The sequence below is a fragment of the Homo sapiens genome, chromosome 17 (assembly GCF_000001405.40).
Source record: "Homo sapiens chromosome 17, GRCh38.p14 Primary Assembly".
NCBI lineage: Eukaryota > Metazoa > Chordata > Mammalia > Primates > Hominidae > Homo > Homo sapiens.
In genome coordinates this window covers 21092776-21115369 of record NC_000017.11, presented here as the reverse complement: position 1 = coordinate 21115369, position 22594 = coordinate 21092776, and the positions used below count along the sequence as shown (strand labels likewise).

The window sequence follows — 22594 nt, the reverse complement described above, 5'->3', positions numbered from 1 at the left end:
TAGATATATTTACATATGTGCTGTGATGGTTAATACTGAGTGTCAACTTGATTGGATTCAAGGATGCCAAGTATTGTTCCTGGGTGTGTCCATCAGGGTGTTGTCAAAGGAGATTAACATTTGATTCAGTGGACTAAGAGAGGCAGATCCACCCTCAATCTGGATGGGCACCATCTAATTAGCTGCCAGTACAGCTAGGATAAAAGCAGGCAGAGGAACACAGGAGGACTAGACTGGCTGAGTCTTCCAGCTTTCATCTTTCTGCTGTGCTGGATGTTTCCTGCCCTCGAACAACGGACTCCAAGTTCTTCAGCTTTTGGACTCTTGGACCTACACCAGTGGTTTGCCAGGGGTTTTTGGGCCTCTGGCCACAGACTGAAGGCTGTACTGTCGGCTTCCCTGTTTTTGAGGTTTTAGGACTTGGGCTGGTTTCCTTGTTCCTCAGTTTGCAGATGGCCTATTGTGGGACTTCACCTTGTGATCCTGTGAGTCAATACTCCTTAATAAACTCCCTTTCATATACACATCTATCCTATTAGTCCTGTCTCTCTAGAGAACCCTGACGAATACATATGCAAAATGATGTATGTACAAGACTATGTAATACATCCTTATTTTTGATAGCAAAAGATTGAACCAACTCAAATATCCATTAATGGAAGCCTGGTTAAATCCATCGGAGTATAGCCACACACTGTAATACCATGAAACTCAAAGAAGTAACTCTATGCACCAACAGGAGAAGTCACTACATATCTTAGTGACATATATAAAGTTTAAAAAAGCAAAGTGAGACTTGATTTTACTGTGATAATATTAACAAATATTGGCTGGGCGCGGTGGCTCACGCCTGTAATCCCAGCACTTTGGGAGGCCGAGGTGGGCGGATCACAAGGTCAGGAGATCGAGACCATCCTGGCTAACATGATGAAACCCCGTCTCTACTAAAAATACAAAAAAATTAGCCGGGCATGGTAGCGGGTGCCTGTAGTCCCAGCTACTCGGGAGGCCGAGGCAGGAGAATGGCGTGAACTTGGGAGGCGGAGCTTGCAGTGAGCCGAGATCGCGCCACTGCACTCCAGCCTGGGCGAGAGGGAGACTCCGTCTCAAAAAAAAAAAAAAAAAAAAAAAAAATTAACAAATACTGCCCCCACCATTGTTAAAATTGGTTTGCCCCCCACCATTGTTAAAATTGGTTTGCGACCAACATTTTCTTGCTCAGAGATCTGTAGGTCAGGTGGTTTGGGCTGCCGATTAGGTTCACATGTGCTCCACATGTCTCTCATTTTGGGACCCAGTCTGAAGGTACAGAGGCTACCTGGGGCAAGTCCTTGTCATGGCAGATGGCAAGAGTGCAAGAGGTCTAGGGGGAACTTATCAGTCCTCCTAAAGCCTCTGCTTGGATATGACACACTTTCACTTGTGCCCAAACGAAGTACACTACATATGGCAAAGCCCAAAGTCAGCCAAAAAGAGAAGTGAACTCTACCACAATGGGGAGAGGTGACAGGAGTGAATATTTGCAGCCCAATCAAAACACAGATCCATAAGGAGCTAGGCTCAGAAACCACACAAAGGATGGGACATGGAAACTGGGATGGGGGGATAAGAATGAGGGAACAGGTCACTAAGTGAATTCTTTACTTTTTATTTATTGTTATTTTAATGTATTAACTTAATGCTTTTGAACCATGTGAATAAAATTTAAGTAACTGAGAAAAAATTAACAATGTGCATTATACTTTGTAAACTCCATCAATGTAAAATAATCAAAAGGGTCAGAATCTAATTTAAAGAGAGTTTATTCAGTCACAAAGTGTAAGGCTAGGCTACCAACACCAACTCCAAAGGAATGAGGTCAGCGTTTCAAAATAGGGACGTTTAGCGATTTCATTTGTATAGGCAGAGACAGAGGAGTTTTGCAAGATTACAACATTATTCATACAAGGATAGCACACGGTTACAGCAAATTGATTAATTATAGGTAGTACTTCTTTTGGGAAGGGTACATTTAACATTTTTTTTTTTTTTTTTGCAGAGGGTCTAATAATCATGAGGTTTCTGTCATCTAGTCTAAGCACAGCAGGACAAAAAAGAGAAGTTTGTTTTTTTTTTGAGACAGGGTTTTTTTTGTTTTTTTTTTTTTTTTTGAGACAGGGTTTTGCTCTGTCACCCAGGCTACAGTGCAATAGCATGATCTCGGCTCACTGCAGCCCCTGCCTCCTGTGCTCAAGTGATCCTCCTGTCTCAGCCTCCTGAGTAGCTGGGGCTACAGGCACATGCCACAATGCCCAGCTAATTTTTGTGTTTTTTGTAGAGACAGGGTTTTGCCATGTTGCCCATGCTGGTCTTGAAACCCTGGGCTCAGGTGATCTGCCTGCCTCAGCCTTCCAAATTGCTGGGATTACAGGTGTGAGCCACTGCACCTGGCCAGGAAGTTAATATTTAACAAGGGTCATTAATTAAGAAGGCAAGGCCAGACATGGTGGCTCACGCCTGTAATCCCAGTACTTTGGGAGGCCAAAGCAGGCAGATCACCTGAGATCGGGAGTTCGAGACCAGCCTGACCAACATGGAGAAACCCCGTCTCTACTAAAAATACAAAATTAGCCGGTGTGGTGGCGCATGCCTGTAATCCCAGCGATTTGGGAGGCTGAGGCAAGAGAATCGCTTGAACCCAGGAAGCAGAGGTTGCAGTGAGCCAAGATCACGCCACTGCACTCCAGCTGGGCAACAAGGGCAAAACTCCGTCTCAAAAAAAAAGAAAAAAGAAAAAAAAGAAGGCAGGAGGGTTTTGTCCCTAATGTCCTTTAGTTCTCTCTAGTCATTGTACAGGACAAGAAAACTAAGAAAGTGAGTTAATCTATAATCTGAGAGCAGACATTGTAACCACATGTGACTCAAATCACAGTCACATCTCTCTCGAGTCTTAACGTGTTTTTTGGGTGTTCCAACAGCTTTTACGTTTTATTTTCACATTTTCCCCTTTTCATCAAGATCTTTTGAAGAAAGCATTGTAGATGAACTCAATAGTTTTAACTCCTTTTTAATTTTTTAAAAATATTTATTTATTTATTTATTTATTTATTTTAGAGACAGGGTCTTACTCTTACCCAGGCCACAGTGCAGTGGCTCAATCACAGCTCACTGCAGCCTTAAACTCCTAGGCTCAAGTGATCCTCCTGCTTCAGCCTCTCAAGTAGCTGGGATTTCTCAGACTCTTTTTATGTCCAGGAGTTTAGTCCCATGTCACTAGGAAGATTCATTCCTAAGATACCATGTCTTATGGTGAAAGTGGAATTGGATGAACTATAAGACTCATGAAGTATAGGCCAAATTTTTTTTTTTTTGAGACGGAGTCTCGCTCTGTCGCCCAGGCTGGAATGCAGTGGCACAATCTCGGCTCACTGCAAGCTTCGCCTCCTGGGTTCATGCCATTCTCCTGCCTCAGGCTCCCGAGTAGCTGGGACTACAGGCGCCTGCCACCACCATGCCCGGCTAATTTTTGTATTTTTAGTAGAGACGGGTTTCACCGTGTTAGCCAGGATGGTCTCGATCTCCTGATCTTGTGATCTGCCCGCCTCGGCCTCCCAAAGTGCTGGGATTACAGGCGTGAGCCACCGTGCCCGGCCAGTATAGGCCAAATTTAAAAAAAACATGAAGGAAGTGACTTTGTGACCTGAGCCAGGTTACTTGGTTACATTTTTAATTAATGTGATTTATTCAAGTGATCATTATTTTAGTCTTTTGAGTCACGCTGACTCAATTATTTATTTATTTATATTTTTCGAGACAGAGTCTCGCCTGCTGGAGTGCAGTGGCGTGATCACGGCTCACTGCAACCTCTGCCTCCCAGTTTCGGGTGATTCTCCTGCCTCAGCCTCCCGAGCAGGTGGGATTTCAGGCACACATCACCACGCCCAGCTTATTTTTGTATTTTTAGTAGAGGCGGGGTTTCCCCATGTTGGCCAGGCTGCTCTCAAACTCCTGACCTCAGGCGATCTGTCCGCCTTGGCCTCCCGAAGTGCTGGGATTATAGGTGTGAGCCACCACGCCCAGCTGGTTTCTTTTTTTTGTTTTTGTTTTGTTTTGTTTTGTTTTTGAGACAGAGTCTTGCTCTGTTGCCTAGGCTGGAGTGCAGTGACATGATCTTGGCTCAGTGAAACCTCTGCCTCTTGGGTTTAAGTGATTCTCCTGCCTCAGCCTCCCGAGTAGCTGGAATTACAGGTGTGTGCCACGCCAGGCTAATTTTTGTATTTTTAGTAGAGACGGGATTTCGTCACGTTGGCCAGGTTGGTCTTGAACTCCTGGCCTCAAGTGATCCACCCACCTCAGCTTCCCAAAGTGCTGGAATTACAGGTGTGAAACTCTGTGCCAAGCCACACTGACTCAGTTGTAAACAAATGTTATAACAGCAACTTAGACAAAAACAAGACAGAACACAACAAATGTTTATAATTTCTAGAATAAGTCATGACTTTACCACCAAGTTTCCCAAGAGCCAAACCAGCTATTTAGCCAGTTGCTTAGAGAACGTTTTGGATATGAAAGATTGGTTATTTGGGTTTTCATATTAGCCATTACCTTAGTGATATTATTTGATTTATCTGGGATATAGACACAGCATTTAGTTTTACAATAACACAGCATTAATGGAAAAACAAAACTCTGTAAACAATTTAAAGAGGTTTATTCTGAGCCAATGTGAATGACCTTGGCCCAGGGAACAGTCTCAAGAGGTCTTGAGAAAGTATGCCCAAGGTAGTTGAATTACAGTTTGGTTTTATACATTTTAGAGAGACAGGAGCCATAAGCAAAGACATAAATCAATACATGGAAGGTATACTTTGGGTCAGATCAAAATGGCAGGACATCTTTTTTTTTTTTTCTTTTTGAGACGAAGTCTCGCTCTGTCGCCCAGGCTGGAGTGCAGTGGCGCGATCTCGGCTAACTGCAAGCTCCACCTGCCGGGTTCACACCATTCTCCTGCCTCAGCCTCCCGAGGAGCTGGGATTACAGGCGCCTGCCACCACGCCCAGCTAATTTTTTTTGTATATTTAGTAGAGCTGGGGTTTCACCGTGGTAGCCAAGATGGTCTTGATCTCCTGACCTCGTGATCTGCCCGCCTCAGGCTCCCAAAGTGCTGGGATTACAGGAGTGAGCCATTGCACCCGGCAATGGCAGGACATCTTAAAGGGGCATGGGCTTCCAGGTTGTAGGTAGATTCAAAGATTTTCTTATTGGCAACTGCTTGAAAGAGTTAAGCTTTGCCTAAAGACTTGAAGTCAGTAGAAAGAAATGCTTTAATCCAGAAAAGGGGGATTGTGGAGGCCAAGGTCTTTGTTACGTAGATGAAGCCTCACAGGTAGCAGCCTTTAGAGAGAATAGATGATAAATGTCTCTTTTCAGGTCTTAAAAGATGGCAGACACTCAGTTAATCTCTCCTATGTCTGGGAAATGCCTGGAAAGGGAAGCCCTGGCTGCATTAATGGAGATTCTCTACAGATAGAAATTTCTACCACAAAAGATGGCTTTGCAGGGCCATTTTAAAACATGTTAAAGAAGTATATTTTGCAGTAAAATATTTTGATTTCCTTAAGGGTCTGCTATCTGTCATGTGATGCTCTATCAGAATCAGGTTGGAATTTGGTATCTTTTTGCCATAAAGAGTCTGTTTTGTCAGACTTATGATCTCTATTTTAATGTTAACGTTGGTCAGTGGTGCCTAAACTCCAAAGGGGAGGAGGTATGATAAGGCATGTCTGACCTCCCTTCCCATCATGGGCAGGAGTTCAGTTTTTCAGGTTTCTCTAGGGTCCCCTTGGCCATTAATTCAGTTGGGGGTGCTTAGGATTTTGTTTTTGGTTTACAACCATTTCTTCTTGGGCCATGGTGAGTATAGCTAAAGCCATATGGTTTTGCAATACAGCTTTTTTCATGAGAGTAACTTTATTATTCAATAATGAGATAACCATGTAGATATATTTAGGACCTTCTGTGTATAATTGCTTAGGGCCTCTACATGCCAAATAACATCTTTAGTACCCAGTTGTGGTACAAAGATAGAAGCTAAATGATCATATGGTCAACAAAAAGAGTCAAGCTCTGTAAAAATATTTGAAGAGATTTATTAGAGCCAAATATGAGTGACCATGGCCTGTAACTCAGGAGGTCCTGAGACCACGTGCCCAAGGTGGTCAGGGTGCAGCTTGGTTTTATACATTTTAGGGAGGCATGAGACATCAATCAAATACATTTAACAAATACATTGGTTTGGCCCAGAAAGGTGGGACAACTCAAAGCTAGAGTTTCCAGGCTATAGATAATTTAAACATTTTCTGGTTGACAATTGGTTGAGTTTGTCGAAAGACCTGGGATCATAGAAAGGAAATGTTCAGGTTAAGATAAAAGACTGTGGAGACCAAGGTTCTTTTAAAGTCTTATAGTAGCTGCCCTGTGAGACAACAGATGACAAATGTTTCCTATTCAGGCCTTTAAAAGGTGCTAGACTCTTAATCTCTTTTAGATTGGGAGGGCCTGGAAGAAAAAGATCTAGCTATGTTAATAGAGATTCTTTACAAATGCAAATTTTCCCCGACAAAGGACAGTTTTGCAGGGCCATTTTAAGATGTGGCAAAGAAACATGTTTTGGGGTAAAATATTTTGATTTTATTTTGTCTCATAATGTTATGCCGGAGTCAGGTTGGAAAGTAAGTGACAATATATAGGGTTAAATAAAACCCATCTGGTGAGAATTTATGGTTTGTAGGGCATGACTCCCCAGACCCCTTAAATAGAAATTTGGGCAAGATAAGAAAAAAATCAGAGCTTAGTCCTCAATGCCAATGGAATACAGAAGGAATCCAACAAGATTGTAAATGAGGGAGATCTGTGAGTTTTGTAAACCAAAAATAAAATTCTAAGCCCTTCAACTGTGGGTGGCAAGCCACCCAGGTGCTGAGGCAAGAGACCGAGGACAGGAGCTGTTCCAGTATAATGAAATATAAAACAAGAATAGTTATACCAGATATAGATCTTGGATATGATTATATATGAATATCATTAATCATTAGTTTGTAGCAATTACTCTTTATTCCAATATTATAATAATCCTCGCTCTATAACCATAACCTAGGAAAAACCAGGCCATACAGAGATAGGAGCTGAGGGGACATAGTGAGGAGTGACCAGAAGACAAGAGTGCGAGCCTTCTGTCATGCCGAGACAGGGCTACCAGAGGGCTCCTTAGTCTAGAGGTAACACCAGCATCTGGGAAGACGCCCGTTGCCAAGCGGACCGTGGTCTAGAGGTAGCGTAAGTGTCAAGGAAAAACGCCCGCTACTTAGCAGACCGGGAAAGGGAGTCTCCCTTTCCCCGGGGGAGTTTAGAGAAGACTCTACTCCTCCACCTCTTGTGGAGGGCCTGACATTAGTCAGGCTTGCCCGCAGTTGTCCGGAGGCCTAACCGTCTCCCTGCGATGCTGTGCTTCAGTGGTCATGCTCCTAGTCTGCCTTCATGTTCCATCCTGTACACCTGGCTCTGCCTTCTAGATAGCAGTAGCAAATTAGTGAAAGTACTAAAAGTCTGTGATAATGGTGTAAGTTGTTTCTCTCTTTGTCTCCTTTCTCTCTCTCTCTCTCTGCCTCAGCTGCCAGGCAGGGAAGGGCCCCCTGTCCAGTGGACAGGTGACCCACGTGGCCTTACCTATCATTGGAGATGGCTCACTCTCCTTATCCTGCCCCTTTGTCTTGTATCCAATAAATATCAGTGCAGCCTGGCATTTGGGGCCACTACCAGTCTCCGCGACTTGGTGGTAGTGATCCCCTGGGCCCAGCTGTCTTTTCTTTTATCTCTTTGTCTTGTGTCTTTACTTCTACACTCTTGTCTCCACACACGGGGAGAAACCCACCGACCCTGTGGGGCTGGTCCCTACACTCAACCATCTGAATGGATCCCTCCTCTTGGCCAAGGGCATTCTAAGGTCAACCTGAAAAACTAGTTCAAGCCATGATGGGAAGGGAGGGTCAGACATGCTTCATTATACCCTCCTCCCTTTTGGAATTCAGGCCCAGCTGACCAGCATTAACATTAAAACAGATCGTAAGGCTGACAAAGTGGACTCTCTGTAGCAATAAGATGCCAAATTCCAGCCTGACTCTAATATGGCATCACATGACAGATAGCAGGCCCTGAAAGAAATCAATGTATTTTGCCGGGCATGGTGGCTCACATCTGCAATCCCAGCACTTTGAGAGGCTGTGGCAGGCAGATCACGTGAGGTCAGGAGTTCAACATGGTGAAACCCTGTCTCTACTAAAAATACAAAAATTAGCTGGGTGTGATGGTATGCCCCTATAATCCCAGCTACTGCGGAAGCTGAGGCAGGAGAATCACTTGAACCCAGGAGGGGGAAGTTGCAGTGAGCCGAGATTGAGCCACTGCACTCCAGCCTGGGTGACAGAGCCAGACTCTGTCTCAAAGAAAAAAAAAAAAAATCAAAGTATTTTACCCCAAATTATGCTTCTTTGCCGTATCTTGAAATACTCCTGCAAAGCTGCCTCTTGTGGGTAAAATCTACATTCTGAAGAGAATCTCTTTCCTTTTCTGGGCATTCTTCCTGATCCAGGAGAGAATTACTTTGATAAGAAACATTTACAATCTATTCTCTCTGAAGCCTGCTACCTGGAGGTTTCCTCTACACAATGGGAATCTTGGTCTCCACAACTGCTTATCTTAAACCCTCACATTCCCTATTGAGCCTAGGTCTTCAGAAAATAACTTAACTCTCAACAGATTGCCAGTCCAGAAATCTTTGAATCTGCCTATGACCTGGAAGCATCCCAGCCCCACCCCCGCTTCAGGTTGCCCCGACTTTGAACCAATGTACATCTTACATATACTGATTAGTGTCTTCTGTCTCCCTAAAATGTATAAAACCTGATCACCTTGGGCATATGTTCTCAGGATCTCCTGGGGCTGTCATGGAACATTGGTCATTCATATACGACTTAGAATAAATCTCTTAAAATATTTTACAGAGTTTGACTCTTTTTGTTGACAGTTTGAAAGGGTAGGCTGGGCGCGGTGGCTCACTCCTGTAATCCCAGCACTTTGGGAGGCTGAGGCGGGTGGATCCCGAGGTCAGGAGATCCAGACCATCCTGGCTAATAGGGTGAAACCCCATCTCTACTAAAAATACAAAAAAAATTAGCCAGGCATGGTGGCAGGCGCCTGTAGCTGAGGCAGGAGAATGGCGTGAACCCGAGAGGCGGAGCTTGCAGTTAGCCAAGATCACGCCACTGCACTCCAGCCTGGGTGACAGAGCGAGACTCCGTCTCAAAAAAAAAAAAAAAAAAAGGGTATGAACTTTTTCACCTTGTGCCCAGGCATAACCCAAAGAACCATCCTAGGGTATCACCTGGTGAAATAGTCCACATTTAGTTGACTCAGCCTTCTGAGACGTGAATCCAAGGGTCTCTGTCTTCTAATTTTGTGGTATAAGGTATGAAAGGAAAATAAGTCTTGGGACGCCAGAATCACTAAGCTAAAGGGAAAAGTCAAGCTGGCAACTGCTTAGGGCAAACCTGCCTCCCATTCTATTCAAAGTCATCCCTCTGAGGCTCCCCTGAGACAAATGCATATCTGATTGCTTCCTCTGCCCTATTGCTTATGTGAAAATGCATATTCACTGAGCCATTCTAAATTGTGTATTCAGTGGAAGGCTGATCAAGGACTCAAAAGAATGCAACCTTTTGTCTCTTATCTACTTCTATCCTGGAAGCCCCCACTTTAAGTTATCCTCCCCTACTGGATGGAATCAATGTACATCTTACATATGTTATTGATTTCTCATGTCTCCCTATAATGCATAAAAGCAAACTATACCCCTGACCACCTTGGGCACGTCTCAGGACTTCCTGAGGCTGTGTCACAGGCTCATCCTTAACCTTGGCAAATAAACTTTCTTAAATTGACTGAGACCTGACTCAGATATTTTGCGTTCACAAATGATGCAGGATTTTTCTCAGTCACTTTGCCAACTGGAGACCTCCACAGGCAGTGACGCCCCCTAGCCTGGGCCTTGCTTGGCCCTGGGCCAGCCACTGGAGGTGCCCCACCCAATCGGCCTGCCTGTGCTATAGCTTGTACCCATGTTTGGCAGTTCCCAAGCTCTTGTCCTGCATCCAAGAAGAATGAGGATATGCTGACAATTGAAGGGTGAGAATGGGTGGAGAAGAATTTTATTGAGTGATGGAATAGTTCTCAGCAGAGAGGAGATGCAGGGGGTGGTTCCCCCTAGCTTAGTCCAGGGCTTTTATGGGTTCAGAATAGGGGAGTAGATACTGATTGGTTTGTGAGTATCAAAGAAAGGCTACAGCAAAGACACCACTAAAGGATGAGCATGGCAGTGTAAAAAAAACAATTAGGAAAGGGTAGGTATATGTAAAATAGGTGAAGAGTGGGGATCAATCAGAGGAAAGCATGCCAAACGGGAAGACAGGTTCTCGATCCTATCCAAGGATCTACGTGGCACTGTCTTCAGTTCAAAGGTCGGGTTTCACCAGGGACCCACCCCTATCTGCCTAGGCATTTGACTGCCTCCTGTCACTATCCCAAAGGGCTACTAAGGAGTAACTGATAAGGTCCATACCGTTTTGATTGAAGAGAGTTTTCTTGTTTGTGTTTTTCATTTAATTTAATTAATTAATTAATTTATTTTTAAGACGGAGTCCCACTCTGTCACCCAGGCTGGAGCGCAGTGGTGTGATCTAGGCTCACTGCAACCTCCGCTTCCCGGGTTCAAGCGATTCTCCTGCCTCAGCCTCCCGAGTAGCTGGGATTACAGGCACGCACCACCATGCCCAGCTAATTTTGTATTTTTAGTAGAGACAGGGTTTCATCATGTTGGTCAGGCTGGTCTCAAACTGCCGACCTCAGGTGATCCACCTGCCTTGGCCTCCCAAAGTGCTGGGATTACAGGCATGAGCCACTGCGCCCCACCGAGTTTTGTTTTTAATGTTATTTCCAATAGACGAAACCTGCTGGTTGAAGTCTGTGGTCCTTGCAGTTTTAGTTTCCCAGGAGCTCACTATGAAAAGATTCTTTCACTAATATGTAATTTATAATTGTTTCATAAGACCATTGTAATATCTGGATCTGTCTCCCTTTACTGTTACAGATGTACAGTTTTCTGGAGATAATTTCATAGGTCTGCGATTATGATTTTGAATGGAGATTCAAAATCCCCAGCTGGTGCTTACCAAAAGGGGGTCAACCTAGATGAAGCAGAACCAGTGGAAGGAAGAGCTTTTGGCTAAGGAATTTTAAAAGCCTCAGTTAATTTTCCCAGTTGAGCTTTTGTGTGGGTGTTTTTTTTTTGGGGGCGGGGACGGAGTCTCGCTCTTCCCCCAAGCTGGAGTGCAGTGGCACAATCTTGGCTCACTGCAAGCTCCCCCTCCCAGGTTCACGCCATTCTCCTGCCTCAGCCTCCCGAGTAGCTGGGACTATAGGCGCCCGCCACCAAGCCCAGCTAATTTTTTTGTATTTTTTAGTAGAGACAGGGTTTCACTGTGTTAGCCAGGATGGTCTCAATCTCCTGACCTTGTGATCTGCCCGCCTTGGCCTCCCAAAGTGCTGGGATTATAGGCGTGAGCCACCATGCCCGACCATTTTTTTTTTTTTTTTTTGAGACAGAGTCTTGTTCTGTCGCCCAGGCTGGAGTGCAGTGGCACAATCTTGGCTCACTGCAACCTCCACCTCCTGGGTTCACGGCATTCTCCTGCCTCAGCCTCCCAAGTAGCTGGGACTACAGGCGCCCGCCACTACACCTGGCTAATTTTTTTTTTTTTTGTATTTTTAGTAGAGATGGAGTTTCACCATGTTAGCCAGGATGGTCTTGATCTCCTGATCTCGTGATCCACCCGCCTCGGCCTCCTAAAGTGCTGGGATTACAGGCATGAGCCACCGCGCCCGGCTTATTTTTGTTGTTTTTTTTTAAGACACAGGGTCTTAACTTGTTGCCTAGGCTGGAGCACAGTGGCATGATCATGGCTCACTCCTGGGCTCGAGCAATCCTCCCACCTCAGCCTCCCAAGTAGCTGGGACCACAGGTGTATGCCACCATGCCCAGCTAATTTTTTGTATTATTTGTAGACATGGGGGTCTCATTATGTTGCCTGGTCTGGTCTCAAACTCCTGGGCTCAAGTGATCTTTTGCCTCAGCCTCCCAAAATGCTGGGATTACAGGTGTGTGCCACCTTGCCCAGCCTTGAGTTTTGATTATTCCATTTATGCGTTTTTATTTTGTTGTGTTTTGTCTTGTTTTGAGACAGGGTCTTGCTCTATCGCCCAGGCAGGAGTGAAGTGGAGTGATCTCGGCTCGCTGCAACCTCTGCTTCCTGGGTTCAAGCTATCCTCCCGCCTCAGCCTACCAACTAGTTGGGGCTACAGGCATGCACCACCACTCCCAGCTAATTTTTGTATTTTTAGTAGAGATGGGGTTTCACCATGTTGGCCAGGGTGGTCTCAAACTCCTGACCTCAAGTGATCTGCCTGCCTTGGCCTCCCAAAGTGCTGGGATTACAGGCGTGAGCCATCACAACTGGCTGCATTTATCTGTTTTATTAACCCAGGTAACTACAAATGATGAACACATTGTAAATGTTGGAGAATGGGCCACATTTTATATACTGATTGGTTAAGGGAATTTTACTTACTCCTAAGGCTGTTGCTTTTCTGCACGGAAATGCCTTTTACCCTGTGAGAAAACATGCAAATCATTACCAGAACATATTTGTATATTTGCAAGTGTTAAATCAAGTTTAGCCTAAAGCTGCCTCCTTACGTATTTTAAGTTTGGCCTAAAGGTCTCTCTGCACATTGTGAACTATAACCTAAATGAAGTTGTAAGCAGACTGTAGCCTACTCTTGTGTCAGTCACTGCATTTTGGCCAATGCAAAGGTGGCCTACTGTTCAAACTCTGTTCAAGTAAGGTAAATGCTGAGCTGTAACCAATCCGCTGTTTCTGTACCTCACTTCCATTTTCCATACCTCACTTTCCTTTTTCTGTCTGTAAATCTTCTTCCACCACATGGCTGTACTGGAGTCCCTGAGCCTACTCTGGCTGAGGCTACCTGATTTGCCAATCGTTCTTGTTCAAATAAACTCTGCTAAATTTAATTCAGCTGAGTTTTTCCTTTAAGACAAGGGTGGCAACTGGAGTAATCCAATAGCCGTACCTTGAAAGGGGCCTCTGGTAAAGGAAAATGTCCTTGGGAACTGTATGACAGTTTCCTTAGATTACGTTCTGGACAAATGTGACAGTTTTACACCTTATGAGTTATAGTTGGAGAAGTTTTCCAAAAATAGCTTTCCCCAAGCAACCATTTTGTCAGGGCTCTAGTGAGTGAGGTCAAATACACAGGTTAAAAATAACTGACCCAGCACTTCGGGAGGCCAAGGCGGGCGGATCACGAGGTCAGGAGATGGAGACCATCCTGGCTAACACGGTGAAACCCCGTCTCTACTAAAAATACAAAAAATTAGCCGGGCGTGGTGGCGGGCGCCTGTAGTCCCAGCTACTCGGGAGGCTGCGGCAGGAGAATGGCGTGAAACCGGCAGGCAGAGCCTGCAGTGAGCCGAGATCGCGCCACCGCACTCCAGCCTGGGCGACAGAGTGAGACTCCATCTCAAAAAAATAAATAAATAAAAAATAACTGAGCCGGGCGTGGTGTCTCACGCCTGTAATCCTAGCACTTTGGGAGGCCGAGGCAGGCAGATTGCCTGACCTCAGGAGTTCGAGAACAGCCTGGGCAACACAGTGAAACCCGGTATCCACTAAAAAATACAAAAAATAAGCCGGGCTTGGCAGCGTGCACCTGTAGTCCCAGCTACTCGGGAGGCTGAGGCAGGAGAACTGCTTGAATCTGGGAGGCAGGATAATTGCTTGAACCCAGGAGGTGCAGGTTGCAGAGCTGACGCCACTGCACTCCAGCCTGGGACAGCGCGAGACTCTGTCTCCAAGAAAAAAAAAAAAAAAAAAAAAAAAAACCACAACCAAAAAAAAGTGTAGGCTGGGCGCGGTGGCTCACACCTGTAATCCCAGCACTTTGGGCGGCTGAGGTGGGCAGATCACCTGAGGTTGGGAGTTCGAGACCAGCCTAACATGGAGAAACCCCATCTCTACCAAAAATACAGAATTAGCCGGGCGTGGTGGCACATGCCTGTAATCCCAGCTACTTGGGAGGCTGAGGCAGGAGCATCACTTGAATCCGGGAGGCGGAGGTTGCAGTGAGCCGAGATCGTGCCATTGCACTCCAGCCTAGGCAACAAGAGCAAAACTCCATCTCAAAATAAATAAATAAATAAAATAACTGTAATTCAGCAGGAAGTATAGGCACATTGTTTGGCACACACTGTACCTCATCTTTGGTGGAGTATGTTCCCCCTTTTTCTAGAGGGCAAGAGCTGTATCTAGTTTGTTGCCACGGTGCTATGTGCTTTTCATACAGACATTTATTGACTGCAATACAGAAATACTGAGGAAGTGATGATGTTGTCATACCACCTCCTGCATGAAGGCTTCCCTAACCCTGCCTCCTTTCCCAGACTGAAAGTAATTTCCACATTCTCAGAATGTGGAATATTCTTATAGCTCCAAACACATGGAGCCTTCAGGAACAATTACTCACATATTCGTCTTAATTATCCAAACCACCCTGAATCTTGCTACAAAGAACATAAATTCTATGTATATTCAATGTGACTTTTTGGCACAGATTAAGCATTAATAACCTTTTGAAGAAAGGTTATGGTTACATGGAACTTTAAAGCATATTTTAATCTGTTTATGAATACTTAATTTCCCCTTGTAATTTAGGTATTGATCTTTGAAGTTATAGGGCTTTTTATCTATAAAGTGACTCTGGGCCTGGCGCAGTGGCTCAGGCTTGTAATCCCAGCACTTTGGGAGGCCGAGGCAGACGGCTCACCTGAGGAGTTCGAGACCAGCCTGGCCAACATAGTGAAACTCTGTCTCTACTAAAAATACAAAAAATTAGGCCGGACGCAGTGGCTTACGCCTGTAATCCTAGCACTTTGGGAGGCCCAGGCGGGTGGATCATGACGTCATGAGTTTGAGACCAGCCTGACCAACATGGTGAAACCCCGTCTCTACTAAAAATACAAAAATTAGCCAGGCGTGGTGGCGCGAGTTTGTGATCCCAGCTACTCGGGAGGCTGAGGCAGGAGAATCGCTTGAACCCGGGGGGGTGGAGGTTGCAGTGAGCCGAGATCCCGAGATCACGCCACTGCACTCCAGCGTGGACAACAGAGCAAGACTCTGCCAAAAAAAAAAAAAAAAAAAAAAAAAAAAGTGACTGGAAAATAATAGTCATTTTTAGGTTGGGCAGTGCTCAGCGCTATATTGGGGTCTCAAAAAGTGTCAACCAGTGTATTACTGAAGACGGACAGGTGGTGGCAGGGCTCTTAGCTGAGGGATGGAAAAATGCTTGCTGCCTAGAATTCACTTACATTCTTTGTTTCCTCTCTCCAGGTTTCTGGCTCTGTGTGGAATAGGCACTGTCCTCCTGGTAGGTGTAAGGGAATCAGATGTTGCATTTTGATCGTGATAAGTTACTTGCTTTTCTGCTTTGTTCACCTTAAATTGAAAGTGGAGAGATGCAAATTCTGCCCCATCCTGGGGAGGCAGCTCCTGCTTCCAGCCAGCTCTGGAGCAGGTTCAGGTGTCCGCAACTTTAAAATTGCCTTGGGGGTCTTTCGGGAAGCACTTCGCAGGGGACAAGCGCGTGGTTATGGTTTGGGTACAGGCAGCGTTTTCCCCAAGGACTTGCTGGCGCCCGCTTCAGGGATGCGCGTAAGCTCCCGAGGCTGTCAGTCAGTCCCTCGGTCGCTCCGGAAATTTGAAAGATTGTTAATCAAGAGGTCTCCACCAATGGATGGGCACAGGTCGTGGCTGGGCCAATCAGGCTCTGTCTCTAGGACTTTGGCGCGAAAAGACGCAAGGTCCAAAAAGAAAAAGAAAAAAAAAAAGAAAAAGGAAACGGTAGTGTGAGATTGATAGATTCTAGCAGCCCTCCTATGAACCTGCCCGTTAATTCCTCTTCTCTAAATGTCTGCCTTTTTTCTTCGTGTACAATTCCTTTTTGTCAGTGTAGCAGGAATAAATATCGATCTCTATCAACGTTGGTGTAAAAGGACCCTGCCTTTTAGCAGCTCATTCCGCCCCCAACAAAAGACTACACTTCCCAGCGACCCTTGCAGACCCGAAAAGCCGGTTTCCACACCCCGAGGCTCTCTCATGCCCTTCTCCCAGTCACTATGCCTAGCCCCAGATAACCACTCTTCTGTCCTCTAGCACCTCCATCACCAGTTCCTGGACTTCATGAAGGGGTACGCTTTGCATCTGGCTTCTTTCACCCAACATCATGTCTGTGATATTCGAGTAATGATTATATGGGTGTGCACATGTATAAAACTCGTAAGTTTGTACTCTTAAGATTGATGTTTTGTTGTTTTTTGAGATGGAGTTTCGCTCCGTCGCCCAGGCTGGAGTGCAGTGGTGCGATCTCGGCTCACTGCCATCTCTGCCTCCCGGGTTCAAGTGATTCTCCTGCGTCAGCCTCCTGAGTAGCTGGGACTACAGGCGTGAGCCACCACTCCCGGCTAATTTTTGTATTTTTAGTGGAGACAGGGTTTCACTATGTTGGCCGGGCTGGTCTCAAACTCCTGGCCTCAAGTGATCCTCCCGCCACGGCCTCCCAAAATGTTGGGATTACAGGCATGAGTTACAATCATATGTATAGTATACCTTAAAAAAAGGATGTAACATTTCATTCTTGAGTTTGTATTTCCCAAGGTATCCAAAATCAGGCCAGAAGGTTTTAGTGAAATTCTCTACTTTTGTTTTAATCAAATTTCATATTCTAGGAAATCACTCACTTTCACCTTCAGGCTGAAGTGCACACTCCTTTGATTAGTAATATGCAGTTAAGGGAGCAGGTTCTGGGGCCAGACTTCCTGGGCACAAATCACATTTCTGCCTCTTACTAGCAGTGTGAGCCTGAAGAAAGTATTTAACCAGTTTAACTCATCCATAAAATGAAATAATCGCAGCCTGGCCAATGTGGCAAAACTCCGTCTCTACTGAAAAAAAAAAATTAGCCGGGAGTGGTGGCGCTCGCCTGTAATCCCAGCTACTTGGGAGGCTGAGACAGGAGAATGGCTTGAACCCAGGAGAGGTAGCAGTGAGCCAAGATCACGCCACTGCACTCCAGTCTGGGCGACAGAGCAAGACTGTCTCAGAAAAAAAAAAACCATCATATTACCTATCTCTCAGGGTTGTTGAGTGGTTAAATGTGTGCTTATGAAAAGTGCTTAGAATACTAAGAACAACAGAATGCGTGCTATTGTTATTGATGCTCAGTATTATGATTGGCCCACAAGGCTCTTCCTGATCTGTTTCTTATCAGCCTTCCAGCATCGTGTCTCACCATTCTCCCTCTGGTTTCTACCCATCCAAGTGTACCTAATCTTGCTGTTTAACTTATTTTCATGTTCTCCTCCCTCTGCCCAAAACACCCTTACCCCAGGCTGGAGCATCCACCATATAGTTTGAGCACACACTTAGGGCACCAGCAAAGCAGAGGCAACCCCCTAAGAAAAAAGAGAGTGAAGAAAAAGAATATATCTCTACAGTATTTGATGGCTGGGCGTGGTGGCTCAAGCCTGTAATCCCAGAACTTTGGGAGGCTGAGGCGGGCAGATCATGAGGTCAGGAGATTGAGACCATCCTGGCTAACATGGTGAAACCCCGTCTCTACTAAAAATATACAAAAAAATTAGCCGGGTGTGGTGGGGGGCTCCTGTAGTCCCAGCTACTTGGGAGGCTGAGGCAGGAGAATGGCATGAACCCAGAAGGCGGAGTTTGCAGTGAGCCGAGATCATGCCACTGCACTCCAGCCTGGCCGACAGAACGAGACTCCGTCTCAAAAAAAAAAAAAAAAAAAAGAATATATCGCTACAGTATTTGATGGTTGACACCCTGTCCCTTCCACCACCAGCAAAAAAAGCATGGAAGGAGTTACAGGAAGTTCATACTTTATTGGGCTGCATTGCCCCTATTTTATGGTCTAGAGTTGTTTGTATTTGAAATACATTTGGGTGGTGGGATGAGTGTAATCTCTTCAGTACTTAGGCCCTTACAGGTCTTTGTGGCAGATGGTGTTTTCCAAAATGGCCACAGTGATATCTCCCATCCCACATCCTCTTTCCTGCAAGGTGACTTTGACACTTCTGTTGAGAGGTAGAACCTCTCCACTTCAATCTGGGAGGGCTTGTGACTATGGTGAAAGTGAGGCCATGTCACTTCCAAGTCCGGGTGAGATAGCTTCTTCCTTGTTCCCAGGAAGTGTAGCCCCAGACTTGCTGTTGGAACCCAGCTGCTGTGCTATCAGGAAGTCCGGGCTACATGAAGAGGCAACATGGAGTGTTCTGGTCAACAGCCCCAGCTGAGGGCCCAGCCAACAACTAGTGTCAACCGGTAGATATTTCAGTGAAGCCTTTAAGATGAATCAAGTACCAGCCCCTATCTCCCTGCAACTGTATCAGAGATCCTGAGAGAACTATACCAACCAATTTCCAGAACCACGAAAAAGTAAAGCAAAATGTCGTCGTGCTAAGCCACTAAGTTTTGGAGTGATTAACAGTTGTAATGGGGCCCTCTCCTTCCCCACCCAACTTATCCTATTCTTCTTTTCTTTTCTTTCTTTTTATTTATTATTTTTTGAGACAGTCTTGCTTTGTCACCCAGGCTGGAGAGCAGTGGCGCAGCCATGGCTCACTGCAACCTCTGCCTCCCAGGTTCAAGTGATTCTCATGCCTCAGCTTCCAGAGTAGCTGGGACTACAGGCATGTGCCACCACGCCCAGCTAATTTTTGTATTTTTAGTAGATTCAGGGTTTTACCATGTTGGCCAGGCTGGTCTCAAACTCCTGGCCTCAAGTGATCCTCCTGCCTCAACCTCCCAAAGTGCTGGGATTACAGGCATGAGCCACTGCACCTGGCCTTTCTTTTCTTTTTTTTTTTTTTGGAGACAGTTGCCCAGGCTAGAGTGCAGTGGCAGTGGCACAGTCATGGTTCATTGCAACCACTGCCTCCTGGTCTCAAGTCATCCTCCCCGTTCCACTTCCCAAGTAGCTGGGACCATAGCCACACACCACCACGCCTGGCTAATTTTTATTTTTATTTTTATTTTTGTAGAGATGGAGTTTCGCTATGTTGCCCATGTTGGTCTTGAACTCCTGAGCTCTAGCAGTCTGCCTGCCTTAGCCTCCTAAAGAGCTGAGATTACAGGCATCAGCCACTGGGCCCAGCCCCATACTTGATTTTCTTTCTTTTTGAGACAGTCTGATGTTCAAGACTGCTCCAGTGTCCCACCTGTAGGTGGCCTTCCCTGACCTTTAGGGCTGAGTGAGGTGCTTCCTCCAGGCTCTCACAGTCCTTTGCATCCCTCTATCATGGCTCTACCATGCCCTATTATCACTGCCTGTTTACTTGTCTGATGCCCTCATTTAAAAGTTTAAACTCCCGTGAACAGTGACTGCATTTTTAAAATAAATCTGTATTCTCAGTAGCTAGGACAGAGCTAGAAGGAAAAAAAAAAATAGTAAGGGCTAGTAAAGTATACGGAGGGAACAACTTCAGCAAAGCTGGTGCTTACAAGTCAAGCACTGGCTGGGCAAGTCAGAGCAGGGCTTATGGGGACAGGCTGCCTGGTTCCCTATCCCAGCTTCACTCCAGCCTGGGCAACACCATGAGACTCGAACATTCTCTCTGACCTCTTCTATCCCTATCATTAGACAAGTTACTGAACTTCTCTGTGTCCCAGTTTCTGAAATAATGGGAATGAGAATGGTACTCCCAAAGAGAAAAGTCTAATGTACAAGTTTCATTACAAAGGAGTCTAGCTCTCAGAAAACCAACTAACAACGGACGGATAAAAAGAGAAGGTGGTGGCCGGGCGTGGTGGCTCACGCCTGTAGTCCCAGCACTTTGGGAGGCCAAGATGGGCAGATCACAAGGTCAGGAGATGGAGACCATCCTGGCTAACATGGTGAAACCTCATCTCTACTAAAAATACAAAAACAAAATTAGCCGGGCATGGTGGCAGGTGCCTGTAGTACGAGCTACTTGGGAGGCTGAGGCAGGAGAATGGCATGAACCCAGGAGGCGGAGTTTGCAGTGAGCTGAGATCACGCCACTACACTCCAGCCTGGACAGAGCAAGACTCCATCTCAAAAAAAAAAAAAAAAAGAGAGAGAAGGTGGTGCTTATTGTTCAAATTATTATACAGATGTCATCAATTGTCATTGGAGGTTGCTTGTCTTCTTTTGATAAAAACCAGAAATTTCTGTCTTTGATTAATTAAAAACAAGATATGGTTTATATAAGATGCTAAGCTTTTGGTGTATTTCAAGGCTTCCTGGAAGCTTCTATATTCATGGCCTGTCTCAGAATGCAAGGTTTTTAGAAATTGAAAGCTTTTTGTTTTTATTTTATTTTATTTTGAGAGACAGGCTTTCACTCTGTCACCCATGCTGGAGTGCAGTGGTGTGATCATAGCTCACTGCAGACTCAAACTCCTGAGTTGAAGGGTTCCCCCCGCCATAGCCTCCCGAGTAGCTGGCACTACAGGTGCGCACCACTATGCTTGGCTAACTTTTTTTTTTTTGGTGGTGACAGGGTCTTGCTATTGTTGCCCAGGCTGATGTTGAATTCCTAGCCTCAAGCAATCCTCCCATCTTGGCCTCCCAAAGCCCTGGGATTACAGATGTAAGCCACCACGGCTGGCCTTCCTTTTTACTTTTTGAAGTGTAAATATGTTCTGGGTTGAAGAGTCTAATGAGTCAACATCAGACAGAGCCAGTCTCAACTACCTCATTGGGTTGTTATGAGGTTTAAATTATACATACAGTTGACCTTTGAACAATACAGGTTTGAACTGGATGAGTCTATTTATAAACGGATTTAAAAAAATAAAATGTGCCTGCCTCTTCTGTCTCCCCTTCCATCTCCTCCACCACTTCTTTACCACTCCTGAGACCCCAACACCAACCCCTCCTCCCCCTCTCCCTCCTCCTCTTTCTCCCCCTCATCCTCTTCTGCCTTAGCCTACTCAACATGAAGATGATGAGGATGAAGACTTTTATGACGACCCACTAAATATATTTTCTTCCTTATAATTTTATTTTCTCTTTTTTTCTGAGACAGTGTCTTGCTCTGTCACCCATGGTGGAGTGCAGTGGCACAATCTCAGCTCACTGCAGCCTTGACCTCCAGGCTCAAGTGATCCTCCCACCTCGGCCTCAGAGTATCTGGGACCACAGGTGTGCACCACTACTCCTGGCTAATTTTTGTATTTTTTGTAGAGACAGGAATTCACTATGTTGCCCAGGCTGGTTTCAAACTCATGGACTCAAGTGATCCTCCTGCCTTGGCCTCCCAAAGTGCTGGGATTACAGGTGTGCGCCACTGCACCCGGCCTGATTTTCTTTTCTTTTCTTTTCTTTCTTTCTTTCTTTCTTTTTTTTTTTTTTTTTGAGATAGGGTCTCTCTCTGTCACCCAGGTTGGAGTGCAGTGGCGGGATCTCGGCTCACTGCAACCTCAACCTCCTGGGCTCAAGCGATCATCCTGCTTCAGCTTCCCAAGTAGCTGGGACTACAGGTGTGCACCAGCATGCCCAGCCTGGTTTTCTAAATAATGGTTTCTTTTCTCTAGCTTACTTTATTGTTAAGAATACAGAGTAGAATATATATAACATTAAAAAAATGTGCTAATCAACTTTATGTTATCAGTAAGGCTTCCCATCAACAGTAAGCTGTTGGTAGTTAAGCTTTGGGGGAATCCAATGTTATATGCAGTTTTTCAACTGTGTAGGGGGTTGGTGTTCCTAACACCCCCCCACCCCCGCCCACCGATTGTTCAAGGTCAACTGTATATGGATGGATGGATGGGTGGATGGATGGATCTATGTATCGCAATAGAACAGGTCTTGGTACATAGTAACTACTTAATAAGTATCAGTCAGCCTTGTTATTGCTGAAGCTTATCAAGGCCTCAGAAAGCCAGCTTCACATCCTCAGCCACCACTAAAACTGTGTGAATTTGGGCCTCTGAGCCGCAGTCCCTTGTGGGTGAAATGGAAATTGATGCCTGCTTCATGGGGCAGTTGTAAAGACCACACAAACATAGATGAAAAAGGGGTGGCCGAGTGCAGTGGCTCATGCCTGTACTTCCAGCACTTTGAGAGGCCAAGGCGGGCAGATTGCATGAGGTCAGGAGTTCGAAACCAGCCTGGCCAACATGGTGAAACCCCGTCTCTACTAAAAAAATACAAAAAAAAAAAAAAAAAAAGGCTGGATGCAGTGACTCAAGCCTGTAATCCCAGCACTTTGGGACGCCAAGGCGGGCGGATCACCTGGGTCAGGAGTTTGAGACCAGCCTGGCCAACATGGTGAAACCCCGTCTCTACTAAAAGTACAAAAATTAGCCAGGCGTGGTGGCGGGCACCTGTA

At 45.6% G+C, this 22594-nt stretch overlaps 7 annotated features.

Annotated features, from left to right (window-relative positions):
• Positions 6156-7019: an enhancer, noted in NCBI's record as "NANOG-H3K27ac hESC enhancer chr17:21011664-21012527 (GRCh37/hg19 assembly coordinates)". NCBI's record gives its function as "activates a minimal SCP1, AML or CMV promoter by ChIP-STARR-seq in naive and primed H9 embryonic stem cells {active_cell/tissue: H9 hESC(naive and primed)}" and the evidence as "EXISTENCE:reporter gene assay evidence [ECO:0000049][PMID:30033119]".
• Positions 15276-15893: an enhancer, noted in NCBI's record as "H3K27ac-H3K4me1 hESC enhancer chr17:21002790-21003407 (GRCh37/hg19 assembly coordinates)". NCBI's record gives its function as "activates a minimal SCP1, AML or CMV promoter by ChIP-STARR-seq in primed H9 embryonic stem cells {active_cell/tissue: H9 hESC(primed)}" and the evidence as "EXISTENCE:reporter gene assay evidence [ECO:0000049][PMID:30033119]".
• Positions 15276-16510: a biological region, named in NCBI's record as "H3K27ac-H3K4me1 hESC enhancers GRCh37_chr17:21002173-21002789 and GRCh37_chr17:21002790-21003407".
• Positions 15672-15881: an enhancer, noted in NCBI's record as "active region_11878". NCBI's record gives its function as "activates an Ori minimal core promoter by ATAC-STARR-seq in GM12878 lymphoblastoid cells {active_cell/tissue: GM12878}" and the evidence as "EXISTENCE:reporter gene assay evidence [ECO:0000049][PMID:35858748]".
• Positions 15800-16094: a silencer, noted in NCBI's record as "tiled region #5958; HepG2 Repressive DNase unmatched - State 1:Tss". NCBI's record gives its function as "represses a minimal TATA promoter and a strong SV40 promoter by Sharpr-MPRA in HepG2 cells {active_cell/tissue: HepG2}" and the evidence as "EXISTENCE:reporter gene assay evidence [ECO:0000049][PMID:27701403]".
• Positions 15800-16094: an enhancer, noted in NCBI's record as "tiled region #5958; K562 Activating DNase unmatched - State 1:Tss". NCBI's record gives its function as "activates a minimal TATA promoter and a strong SV40 promoter by Sharpr-MPRA in K562 cells {active_cell/tissue: K562}" and the evidence as "EXISTENCE:reporter gene assay evidence [ECO:0000049][PMID:27701403]".
• Positions 15894-16510: an enhancer, noted in NCBI's record as "H3K27ac-H3K4me1 hESC enhancer chr17:21002173-21002789 (GRCh37/hg19 assembly coordinates)". NCBI's record gives its function as "activates a minimal SCP1, AML or CMV promoter by ChIP-STARR-seq in naive and primed H9 embryonic stem cells {active_cell/tissue: H9 hESC(naive and primed)}" and the evidence as "EXISTENCE:reporter gene assay evidence [ECO:0000049][PMID:30033119]".